The sequence below is a fragment of the Homo sapiens genome, chromosome 1, assembly GCF_000001405.40.
Source record: "Homo sapiens chromosome 1, GRCh38.p14 Primary Assembly".
Taxonomy (NCBI): domain Eukaryota; kingdom Metazoa; phylum Chordata; class Mammalia; order Primates; family Hominidae; genus Homo; species Homo sapiens.
The window spans coordinates 67,555,894-67,569,153 of NC_000001.11; the positions used below are offsets into that span (position 1 = coordinate 67,555,894).

Below are 13,260 nucleotides of genomic sequence, written 5' to 3' on the forward strand. Positions count from 1 at the left end.
AATTTACTACTCCCTAAGGAAGTGTGACAGAATAACCCTGAACGTCATCCCACCCATCAAATATCCTGGCCATAATTGCCTTCTGTATGTCTTTCTTAAGAGTTTTGGAATGTCTGTAAGAGTGTGCATGTGTGTGCATGTGTGTGTGTGTGTAGAGCGATAGAGAGAGGGAGTTTATTTATATATACATATATTTTTACTGCAAATATATTTTTGTGTTTTACCTTGCAAGCATAGTTCAATGATCTTTGCTCCCCGTGCTATTTTAGGCAGGAAAATACCTCCTTCCTACGTGTAGCAGGCGCAAGGGGCGGGACATTTGTTTACTTTGTGCTGGTCCATCCTTCTGCCAGGAGCTCTCTCTGCCTTTCCAGGCTCTCTCACCCCCAGGAACTTGGCAACTCCTATCTATCCTTCAACTTTCAGCCTAAATACCACGTTCTCCAGGAAGCCTTCTGACTTCCTGAGTTCTTCCTTGGGTGCCCACGTTGGCCTCGTGTCTGTAGTTGCCATTCTGTCAAGCACAGCATTTACTGCACTGCTGTAATCACTATTTGCTGTCTCTCTCTTCTGCCACACCTGTGTTTTTGAGATTGACTTGTAACCCATTGATGAGCTGTGAAATCAAATGTCATGACCAGCATTTCTGGTTTTGTATTATTTATTTTGGGATATTTTTGTATGTTGTATTTGAATACTAATAAAATCATGTTTGCTATTTAACTTTATGTTTTTACTTAGTCATATATGAGTGAGTGTTGTCTCATGAAACTTTTGTTTCCGTTGTGTGTATGTGTGTGTGTGTGTGTCTGTGTGTGTGTGCAGTAGTGAAGACACAGGCCCAGATATTTTGAAGGATATGGTGTGAGGCAGTGTTTTTCTTCAAATTTTTGAGCTGTGAACTACAGTAAGAAAAACTTTTTTTTTTTTTTGAGACAGAGTCTCACTCTGTTGCCCAGGCTGGAGTGCAGTGGCATGATCTCGGCTCACTGCAACCTCCACCTCCTGGGTTCAAGCAATTCTCGTGCCTCAGCCTCCCGAGTAGCTGGGATTACAGGCGTGGACTACCAAACCCAGCTAATTTTGTATTTTTAGTAGAGACGGGGTTTCACCATGTTGGCCAGGCTGGTCTTGAACTCCTGACCTCAGATGATTCACCCTCCTCAGCCTCCCAAAGTGCTGGGATTACAGGCGTGAGCCAGTGCACTGGACCGGAAAAAGATTTAATATGGTAGCATATATATAGGCTCATACACATAGTTTCTAAAGCATTTTCATATGTGCTATTTTATTTTGATATGTACAACTCATGTGAAGTAGATATTATTAACTAATTTTAGATATAACGGAGAGTGAGCAATTAAGTGACCTATCAAAGGTCATATAACTCATAAACATTGACACTTAGGGCCTGAATCCAGGGATTTTGATTAGTACTCATTCTCACACACATAGCATTATACACCTGCACCCAGAGAGTCAAAGTGGGATGAGCTCTAATATCTAATCAACATATGTAGAAATCGTGATTTATTATATGCAATATTGTTCAAAACTCTAACTGTGCAACTATGGGATAAAGAGCTATGTAATAGTACCAGAACTTTCAGTGGGAAAGCCACTGAGGGAGTTTAGCAAATAGTATACTTATTATAAGCCAGCTTTTGTGTCTATCAAGAAAAAGCTCATTATTTTGATTTTGGACTCCCTTAATAGAAGTAGAATATCTGGAAGGAGGAAAGTGATTATTTTATACTCTTCTGAGAGCACTGTATTTTATTCTGGACAGCACATGTGCAGACTAATGGGGAAGAATAGGCTGTGTTTAGAGAAAAAATTACCCCGAGAGGCAGGAGGGCTCAGGCCCTGCCATATCGAAATAGACGGAGGAGTGGGGTTGGAGCGAGTACGCTGCAGGTGGGGTAGAATGGAGGTCATCCCATACTTGAAGAGCTGTGCTGTGGAAAACGGCATCAGCTTTGTTTCACATGGCCCCAGTGGAAACAGCAAGGAGAGCAGCTGCTACATGGGAAAACTGTGGTAAACCTCTGTGGTGTTTGCTGCTTCCCTTTCTTCCATCACAGAGCCCATGTGTTGCTCAGGCAGCAGCCCTCCCTTACTCTTGACCCCTGTGGTCTGTCTTGGGGATCTGAAGACTCTGGCCTAAACTAATCAGCACATTTCATCCTCTCTGGACACAGCGCTTAGTCCAAGAATCAACCGGCCACTCAAATTAGCTTAATGGAAAGTACATTTTGAACTTTATAAAATTGCTGGTAAAAAGTTTTCTCCTCCAACTGGATTTGGGACTGCATGGATACTCAGCGTTGCTGGAGATGGCCTGCCTAAGAGTAAAGTCCACACAAAGGAGAGCTGAGCCCAGAGCAGGTGACACTGTGCCCTGACTCTCATCCCGAGCCCCTGGAACCAGCCTGAAAGCCCCTAGATCTTTCAGCTGGGAAGCCCAATATGTTGCAGGTTCATGCCCCGGAAAGGGTGCAGGATATTGATTAGGGAATGCCTTAGGTATCAAGACTTGAGGAAGAACAGAAGATGCAGAGGGAGGACGAAGGCAACTGCAGACCTGAAGACAGCCTCAGCCACACCCAGAGAAGCCCTGGAGCTAGAGCGGCCTTCCAGAGTTATCAGAGTTGGGGGAGATGACCAGGCATTTATACTCCTGTGTTGATCATTCATTGGCTGTGGATTGGCCCTGGAAGGGTGGCTACAATGAAGCAATCCCTGAAGGAGTGGACAGTTAAAGGTCGTCTGCTGGGAGCTCTCTGGCAGCTGATGATAAAAAGCCCTTTACTGGAGGGAGATCTGTGTGGCACATCAAGGGTGCGCTGCAGAATACCTTCTTACTTATTTGTTAATTTATCTTTCGCCAAACACAGTTTCAGTGGGTTTTTGCCACTGACAACTGAAGGAATAGTGACACGCGTGATAAGGAACCATTTTCTAAAATTCAGAGCTGTAACCCCATATATGTAAGGGATTGCCTTGGGAGGTAGTGAGCTCCCCATCATCAGAGGTATCCAAGCAGAGCCTGGCAGACCACTTTGGAAGGGAAATTTTCATGCATTGGGGGGAAACTCGAGCTGGATGACCTTGCAGTCTAAGATCCCATGACTCCAGGTCCAGGAACTCTGGTCACTTCTAGTGGACTGACACATGGACATCACATGGACAGCCGGAGCATCCCAGATCAAGCCCTATTCCTCCCAGCCAACTTCCCTTGACACTAAACTGAGGACAGAGGAGAGGAATGAGTAAGGAGTTTGCTAAGGAAAAAAAGGGTAGATACTTTTTTTTTCTTTATAAGGCATGTGAAAGGAATATTTCAACTGACTCTACCACAGGCAGGGAGTTCTCCCCTGCCACACCCACAAGAGGCAAGTTAGGCTCAGTTAATGGTATCTTGGAACCTCCTCAGTAGAATTTTCCTCCGTTTCTGCCCACGTCTGAGTGTCTTCATATGTCTCCTCTCGAGTCTGGCTTCTCGTGTCACTGTGTCTCTTTGTGAGTCAGCCTTCATCGCTGCTTGTTAGGCTTTTTGTGCTTTGATGCCAAGAGCCTCAGTCTCACACGCCCCTCTGGCCGTCCCTGCCTGGGACACCGAGTTGAATTTCCCCACCCTGCGTCTGGGTCCTCACTCCCGCGCTCCGGGCGTCCAGCTCACGCCTGTCTGGTGGATCTTCTAGTCTCTGCGTTGGCTCTCTCTGACCGTGGGTGGTTTCTCCAGCCACATGATCTCAGCCTCAGCCCAGTGCCTGCCACCTTGGAGCAGGGAGAAGAGTAGGCAGTTTGCACGTAGTGTGAGGAAAGGGCCCTGGATTCGGTGTCTGGAAAACCTAAGTTTGAGCCCCAGCAGGCTCTGCCACTCACATGGATCAGTCACTTGAAATCTCGGAACTTCAATTTCTTCATCTATAAAGTGGGGAGAATACCCATCCCGCCTCCCAAAGTTGTGGTGGAAAGAACCATAGGCTAGGTTACTGTTGGTTGCGATGTGACTCCGAGCCAGGCGTTCTGTTTAGCACTTGTCTGTCCTTCCTGATTCTCCCAACACAACCCTTTCAAGATGGTATTTGCAGCCTAATTTTACAAATGAGGAAATGGAGGCTCAGGGAGGTTAAAAAATTTACTTAAGGTCACACAGCACAGCTAAAATTTGAACCCGGCTCTGCCAACTATGAAACTCCTGCCATTGGCTGGGCGCGGTGGCTCACGACTGTAATCCCAGCACTTTGTGAGGCTGAGATGGGTGGATCACGAGGTCAAGAGATCAAGACAATCCTGGCCAAGATGGTGAAACCCCGTTTCTACTAAAAATACAAAAATTAGCTGGGCGTGGTGGCGGGCGCCTGTAGTCCCAGCTACTCAGGAGGCTGAGGCAGGAGAATCACTTGAACCCGGGAGGTGGAGGTTACAGTGAGCCGAGATTGCGCCACTGCACTCCAGTGCGGCGACAGAGCGAGACTCCGTCTCAAAAACAAACAAAAAAACAAAAACTCTCGCCATGTATGCATTTCACTGTAAGAGGAGGAACACAGGAAGAACATGCTTTATAATGGTGAGAAATCTTTTCTGCACATCAGTATTTATGACTTTTTCTGAGAGTCTGCCCAGGCTGGAGTGCAGTGGCATGATCACCGTTTGCTGCAACCTCGAGCTCCTGGACTCAAGCGATCCTCTCGCCTCAGCCTCTTGAATAGCTGGGACTACAGGCACGCACAAGTACACCTGGATAACTTTTAATTTTTTTTGTAGAGACGGGGGTCTCGCTATGTTGACCAGGTTGGTTTTGAAATCCTGGGCTCAAGCAATCCTCCCATCTCAGCCTTCCAACGTGTTGCAATTACAGGCATGAGCCACTGCACCTGGCCTTGTCACTATTTTTGAATCATCCATGAGTCTCTCTGGGTATCAGAGGCATAAGAACTGTCAGATAGGGATGGTGCTGGCACATTTGTGGGTCAATTGCAGAGAACCCTGTCGAGTTAACAGTCCTTCCCATCTCTAGTTTCTTCAGCCTCAGGAAATACACAGCTAGCAAATGTGAAGAAAATAAGGCTTCCTGTTACTTAAGATGGACTGGAACGCTAGAACCAGGAACTTGATTCTGAGATCAACTTTGAAGTAACAAAACTTGGCTGGGGTCAAAATGACCAGCATTATTGCACCATACAAATAAGCCTGCAGTATCTGCAGCCCTCATCCTGTGGTATGGCCTCTGCAGGCATCCAGGCTGAGGTCCACTTGCAGGGGCAGGAGCTGTGGAACCGCTGCATACTGGCACAGCCCCCCACCTATGAACAGAAGCAGATGCTGGGAGAATGTTTGCTCCCGCTCATCCAAACAATGCATTCAAACCTGGCTGGAAAGATGATAAGAATGCTGCCAGAGACTAACAACTCTGAGCTGCTGCTGATGCTGGAGCCCCCCAAGTTTCTCAGGTCCAAACTGGATGAGCCACGGCGTTCTACAGGCTCATTGTGGCAGGAGAGAAGCTGCCCAGGAGGTGGGTGCAGTTGCTGCTGATATCTCTTAGTCAAGAAAAACTGACTGCAAAGCCAAATAACCCCTTGAGGAATTCACCTCAAGACTTGAAGACTTCATAGCTTATCCTATGAACCTCAGTGTCAAGAACCACAGATGGCAACTATGATAGGCCATTTTGTTTCAAAAGGTCAATTATGAAGCTGTAGACTTTTTCAATTATATGAATATGTTTTCTGGGTTCTGCTACGGCCCAGACAGTGTTAACTTCTTTTTCTATTGTGGATTTTGATGTTTTCCTCCCAAGATATTAGTTTTATTATATGTCCCCAAGCCTTAAGTTTCTCCATAAAGGAAAAAAAATCTCCAGGGAAAAAAAATCAGCCTCTTAGCAGGTACTGGTGGTCATAAAACACCCAGACAACACCAGACGGTGGCGCCAGAGAGGCAGGCAGGTGGCAGGAGGGCTGCACGGAGTTGGAGGCTCCTGAGTCTTCTGTTTCATTTGCTGGCAGCTTCTGTGTGCCTCAGGTGCCAGCGGCCTGGCTACTCTTGTTTCTCACAGTGTGCTGAAGTATCATGGGGTTTGTCCCTAGCAGGTCACCCAGAGTCCAACAGGAAGTGAGAGCAGCTCCTTCCTGCTGCAGTAAGAGATGAACATTCCCTTTGGAGAGACACACTAGGTCACTACAAATGGGCCACTGAAGAACCTGGCACTGGCCGCTATCACTGGCCCCAGCTGCAGTGCTGCTTGCTGTTCACAGGTTTGTCTCTTTCTGTATTATTTATAGCAAACATGGAGGGTTCACACTGGCCTAGGCAGCATCCAAGTGCTTTTACATGTGACAACGCAGAACTTTCTAACATGGCATACCAGGACTGCAGGTGACATATGTGCCTCAATTTTTCATCACCTTACCACTGGCTATGAGTAGATTCATCCATTTATGCCACTATCATTTGTTTTGTGAATTATGTTAATACCTAATGCAAATACTATTTTCTGGTCAAGTGCGGTGCCTCACACCTGTAATCCCAGCATTTTGGGAAGCTGAGGTGGGCAGATTGCCTGAGGCTAGGAGTCTGAGACCAGCCTGGCCACATAGTGAAACTCTGTCTCTACTAAAAATACAAAAAGGTGGGACACGCCTGTAATCCCGGCTGCTCGGGAGGCTGAGGCTCGAAAATCGCTTGAACCTGAGAGGCGGAGGTTGCAGTGAGCTGAGATGGTGCCACTGCCCTTCAGCCTGGGTGACAGAGCAAGACTCTGTCTCAAAAAACAAACAAACAAACAAAAAATACCATGTATTTTCTCTGGATGCCATGGCATGAAAAGTTGGGAAACACTGCCGTGAATGAATCTTCACACAACTTATGGGGTAGTTCTTCCTAATACCTCCTTTTTACATATGAGAAAATAGAGGCTCCGAGGGGTTGCTTGACTGGACCAAGGTCACAGAGCTAATAAGCAGTCGAGCCAGGACTGGAACCCAGATGGCCTATGTCTAGAGTTTCCATGCTCGTGTCCCTAGACCAAAAGCTCTCAACCCTAGCTATATATTAGAATCTGAGGAACTCAAACAAACAAACAAACAAACCCAAAGCCAAGAAATTGTCACAGCCAAGAGAAGCCTAAGGAGACCTGACGACTAAATGTAATGTGGACCCTGAATGGGACCCTGGAAAAGAAGAAAGACATTAAAAGAAAAACAAAGAATTCTAAATAAAACATAGACTTCAGTTAATAAAAATATATCAATATTGATCCATTAAATGTAACAAATGTACCACACTGATGTAAGATGTTAACAATAAGAGAAATGGCGGGGTGGAGTATACAGGAATTATATACTCTGTACTATCTTTGTAATAATTCTGTAAATCTCAAGGTCATCTAAGTAAAAAGTTTATTCTTAAAAAAAAAACAAGCAGAAAAATATCTGAGGGTCCTATCTCATAACAATTAAATCAGAATCACTGGAGTGAGATTCAGGTATCAGCATTTTTTAAAAAGCTCCCCAGGAGATTAAAATGTTCATCCGGGGCCAGGTGTGGTGGCTCATGCATGTAATCCCAGCACTTTGGGAGGCCTAGTCGGGCGGATCACCTGAGATCAGGAGTTCGAGACCAGCCTGGACAAGACGGTGAAACTCCGTCTCTACTGAAAATACAAAAATTGGCCAGGCGTGGTGGTGGGTGCCTGTAATCCCAGATATTCAGGAGGCTGAGGCAGGAGAATCACTGGAACCTGGGAAGAGGAGGTTGCAGTGAGCCGAGATCACACCATTGCACTCCAGCCTAGATGACAAGAGTGAGACTCCATCTCCCCTACCCCACACAAAAAATGTTCATCCAAGATGGAGAACCCCTGCACTGCCTCCCTGACATAGACCCTAAGCACTTTGAGTTCAGGGAGTTTGCTTATTCATTTTCATACCCCAAGCACCTAGCAGAGTGCCTGATACAGGTAAGGCACTCAGTATACATTTGATGAATAAGTGACTGACTCACTGAATGAATGAATGAATGAATATTTCAGCCTCTCATCAATTCAAACCTGACTTAATCAACTCTGAAGAGAAGAGATTACATGAAAACATGTAACGTCAGGCAGCAAGCCTATCGTGTCTATCACTGGGTACTGATTATTGTGTGCTAGCTGCTAGGTGCTGGCCATGGCTAGGAGTAGGTTAGGAGGTGATGCCTGTCCTCAAGGCATATTCTGTAAGGGGAGGTTAGGCCTTGTGGGGCAGGGAGTAAGCAGGCAGGGTGTGGAATCAAATGGTCTAGGTTCAAACCCCTGTTCCTGCATTTAGTAGCTGTGTGGTCCTGGGTGGTTTTCTAACCACACTGGAAACTATGGGAGATATGAAAATAAAGCAGAAACGGACGCTGCCGTGTGAAGTAGAAACCCAAGAGAAGAAATTGGTTAAACGTGGCATATGACGAGTTTTGCTTTCATTGTTTTGCTCTCTACAAGATTTATTTCCTGTCATGAAAACTCCACCCATGCCCTAGTTGGAAATCACCAGTGAAAAGGACGGGAAACTGGGCTGTCCTGACGTGAGCAGCTGGGATCCCACTAGGTCACGAGCTTGGGAAAGGAGGAAGAAGGAGATGTTGTGTCTGGAGTCATGAGGAAGTGGGCTCCTCCTGGACCTGCTGGATTCTGCCAGGGCCAGAGCACCTTTTGGGTGTGGGAGGTCAGCCAGATGATTGTTGCTAATGCTCACGGGCTCACAGGGGGCTGACTCGGCCCCAGCAAGTAAATCACTTTTTTAAGTGCTTTACTTGCTGCAGATCATTTAGTGTCCACAACCTCTGCATGAAGCCATCATTCTCTTTTTATGGCTCCCATTTTATTGGTGCTGACACTGAGGCCTAAAGTTAAAGAACTCATCCAAGGTCACACAGCTAGTAAGTGGCAGGACCAGGATTCAACATAGGTTGTCTGGCTCAGAGTGTGTGCACTTAAACACTACCTAACTCCCCCTTGCAAGTGGGATGCAGCCTGGTTTTGCAGGAAAAGCACCCACTTCAGAATCAGGCAGAGAGGGGGATCTGATCTGGCCTTGCAACCCTGGATATGGCACTTAACCTTCCTGATCTGTAATGTGGAAATCATAAGAGGGCTGTTGTGAGGACTAAATGAGACAATATAGTAGCCATTTTCCTTTTCCTTCCTTCTTAGTCTTTCCTTCCTCCTTTTCCCCCATCCACCTGTTCCCCTGTTGAACTTTCATATTTCACCTTTGTTTCTCAAAGCTAGTGAAGAAAGCGAAGAGCTTCCAGGTCTTGATTTACTCCTCTAATGGTGCAAAAATAAGGGATGAAATATTTTTAATAATTACATGTATATGCATACACTGTGTGTGTGTGTGTGTGTGTGTGTGTGTGTGTGTGAGAGAGAGAGAGAGAGAGAGAGAATTGGCTGAAGGAATCAGGACAGGCTGCACTGGAGGCCAGACTCTTCAGTGAGGCAGAGGGTACCAGCCAACAACATGGCAAAGACCTTATAGAAGGGAGCAGAAGGGGCATGCCAAGAAGTAGTTTGTCAAATTCCCCTGAGAGAGGGCCTGGTAAACTACCACAAGGAAATGAAATAAATGTGGACCGGACCCCCTACCCAGTGATCTCCTGTGATCATCTTGACAACTTACATTATTATGTTCATTTCATAAGGAGGTTAAGTCACTTGCCCTAAGCCACACAGTTAGGGAATGGAGGTAACAGGATATGGCTAGTGCCACACAGTCTTCCATCCTGAATATGTAAAGGTGGGGGGGTGGGGCATGCAATGTGGAAAGAGGGGCCAAGAAACCAGGAAGACTGAGTTTAAATGCTAAATGTCCTTCGTAGCCCACAGTGCTGTTATGAATTTAAATCAGATAATGCATTTTTAAATGCTTTAACAGTAAAGTGCTATGCAAATGGAAGATAATATCAGAACACAGGGAGTACAGTTGTATCTACCTAAGTTTCAGAAGAGCATCTAGTGCAACAGCACAAACCATGGAGGCATACAGGCTCCTTTAAATTAGGGGGTAGTGGAAAGTCCATGAACTTCAGCATCTGACAGGTCTGGGTTCTGGTAGTTGCTTTACTTTACCACTCTCTAAAGCAGTGTTGCCCTGAGCACATCCCTTCCCTGGACCTTAGTTCCCCTTATCCTTAAAATAGAGAAGCTGTACCCAAGGTGCTGTAGGGTCTCATCAGCCCTTACATGGTGAGAATCTGGGACAACAGAGCTGGATTCAGATCCACCTTCAAGTTGGCCTGCAGTGGCCCCAAAGATAGTCAGGCAATCTCAGGAAAGAAAACATTATTTTATTGTAATTTGATTTTAAAACCTTGGTTGTTCCATTTATTGTAAGGGTAGCATATGCAAACTTTCAGAAAACACTAGAAGAATATAATAGTCCTTAAAAAAAACCTTGAGTTTGCAGAAAAATACAAAGATGCATATAAAGTTCATCTAGACCTAGACACTTAACTTGTTGGTGTATGTCACTGTAAATTTTTGATTAGACAAAATCGATTTATAGAAGTCAATATTTAAAATCTTGATACTTTCCTTTTGTATAATCTTCTTTCATTAGTTAAACACAAGGGATACTGTCTACATATAGAAACTGTCTTTTAAAAAATTCTGATTGGATTCAGTTAACTAATCAAAAATGTTGGAAAATTAGTTGAGCATTTTGATGTCACTATCAATTGTCTAATTGTTACTAAATCTGCCAAATAAAAGTGAAAAGCCTATTAGATTATGTAACCAATTATTCTTAAAATTCTTTACTGCCTTTAAAAAAATCAGTCAAACACAAACCTGGTTAATTAAACTTGACTTTGCATCTTTAGCTTTAAGAGATACTGCTGCTAATCGCAACACTTATATTTTGCTTTACAAAAAGCTCACTCTCTATACAATATTCTATTTGTTAAGAAAAATTGACACAGGCAGCACTTTGGGGAGGGAGTGTCTGATGCATCAAACTAGCAGAGCCAAGCTATCATTGACGGTCTGGAGCCTTCTGTCAGGGGCTGGAATTCAACAGCTGTCTTCCCTTCATGCCATAAATGATCCAGGTCATTCAATCAGATTAATCCAGCTGGGGGAGAAGTCATTGGTGAGTAAAACACCGATGTATGTGCAGGCTTGGCTGGGGTTAAGTAATGTGACAAGAGTTGCATGAGGCATTGGATTACTCAAGCTCTCATTCTTAGCCCCACATGTATCAGTCAGGAGTAGCCAGGGTCTGCTGTGATAACAACCCCAATCTCAGTGGTTTAACATAATAAAAATTTATTCCTCACTTTATGCTATCATTGATAGACAGGTGGACTCTGTTCATTCTAGTCACTTAGGAACCCAGACAGATAGAGGCCTCATTTCAACACATGCTTCCAAGAAATGTGGCAAATTCTTAAAGCTTCTGCCTGGAAGTGCTGTGTGCAACTTTTTCTTTTCTCTCTCTCTTTTTTTTTTTTTTTGAGATGGAGTCTCGCTCTGTTGCCCAGGCTGGAGTACAGTGGCATGATCTCGGCTCACTGCAACCTCTGCTTCCCAGGTTCAAGCAATTCTCCTGTCTCAGCCTCCTGAGTAGGTGGGACTACAGGTGCACGCCACCATGCCAGGCTAATTTTTGTATTTTTAGTAGGGACGGAGTTTCATCATGTTGGTCAGGCTGGTCTCGAACTCTTGACCTCAGGTGATCCGCCCGCCTCAGCCTCCCAAAGTGCTGGGATTACAGGTGTGAGCCGCCATGCCCAGCCGCCATATGCAACTTTCACTCACATTTTACTGGCCAAAGCAAGTGATACGACTACACCTAACTCCACTGGGGGTGGGGAAGTAGAATGCTGCCATATGATTGTCATTTTGCCACCAAACCAACTATGTGACCTTGGGCTCTGTCAGCCTCAGCTTTGATATCTATATAATAGGGGTTACCTGGCCTCTATATTCATTCATTTATCATTTATTCATTCAATCAGTGAATACGGTTTTCTGGTTAGGAGCCCAAATTCTGTAGCCAGCTTACCTGGGGTCATTCTCAGCTAAGTCACTTACTACCTGTATAACCTTAGGCAAGTTGTTCAATATCTTCTGGAGCTCAGTTTACTTATCTGTAAAATGGGGATGATAATAGTACCCATCTCATAGAGTTGTTGTGCCGGTATAATGCATATATTATATAAGATACATAGAACAGGCAAAGTTCTTAGAACAGTTCCATGTGGTAAGTGCTGTGCACATGGTAATTTTAATATTCATCAATCCATTTAGCCATTTATTTAATGAATATTTGTTGATAATCTTTCCTGGTTATCTTTGAAGGCTCTTATGAAGACTAAGGAAAAAAAAACAGATGTAAATTCCGTTTGCAAATGATAAGTTGCCCAAAGGGAGGCATAATAAGAGGCAGCATTTTTACAGGACTTGGATTTATTTTTCCTACCATTTATTGAGCACATAGTATGTGTTAGGCTCTGTACTAAATGCTTTTATAACAACCCTGTGAGATAGTTTTATAGATGGGGAAACTGAGACATCAAGAGGTTAGGTCCCACAGATGGTGCATTGTAGGGCCTTGCAGGGTGCAGCCCCAGGATATGGTCAGCCCTGCATGAAAACCTTTGCTCTTTCCCTGGCGCGATGCTGTGGAGAACCATCTGCTCATCATTTGGCCTGTTGGTTTTTCTACTAAATTGAAGCTCCTCAAAGGCAGAAGATGTTCCCCTTAATTCTTGGTGTTATTTTGCTGCCCAGTACCACACCAGTGACACCATAAGGTGGCCATTTACAAAGAGGAGGAGGCCAGACATGTTAGCTCATGCCTGTAATCCCAGCACTTTGGAAGACTGAGGCAGGCAGATTGCTTGAGTCTGGGAGTTCGAGACCAGCCTGGGCAACATAGCGAAACACCATCTCTATAAAAATACAAAAATTACCTGGGTGTGGTGGCGCGTGCCTGTGGTCCCAGCTACTTGGGAGGCTGAGGTGAGAGGATCAGTTGAGCCCAGGAGATGGAGGCTGCAGGGAGCCAAGACGATGCCACTGCACTCCAGCCTGGATAATAGAGTGAGACCCTGTCAGAAAAAAAAAAAAAAGAAGGGGAGAGATTTAAGCCAAATATCAGCCTTGGGTTTAAATCTTGCCTCTCCCCCACCTGGCTGATAACTTTTGGGACGTCGTTTCTCCTCTCGAGCTTTTTGGTTTTTTGATTTTTTTTTTTTTGAAGAGAGTCTCGCTCT

At 44.9% G+C, this 13,260-nt stretch overlaps 1 long non-coding RNA gene across 1 annotated transcript in view; it reads left to right on the top strand.

Annotated features, from left to right (window-relative positions):
* The first annotated feature begins 6,154 nt into the window (after nt 1-6,154).
* The window catches only part of LOC105378780 (uncharacterized), a 28,350-nt gene continuing 21,244 nt past the window's right edge, over nt 6,155-13,260 (top strand). The window contains exon 1 of the long non-coding RNA XR_947474.4: nt 6,155-6,266. This is a non-coding gene — a long non-coding RNA (uncharacterized LOC105378780). The remainder of the gene's footprint in view (nt 6,267-13,260) is intronic.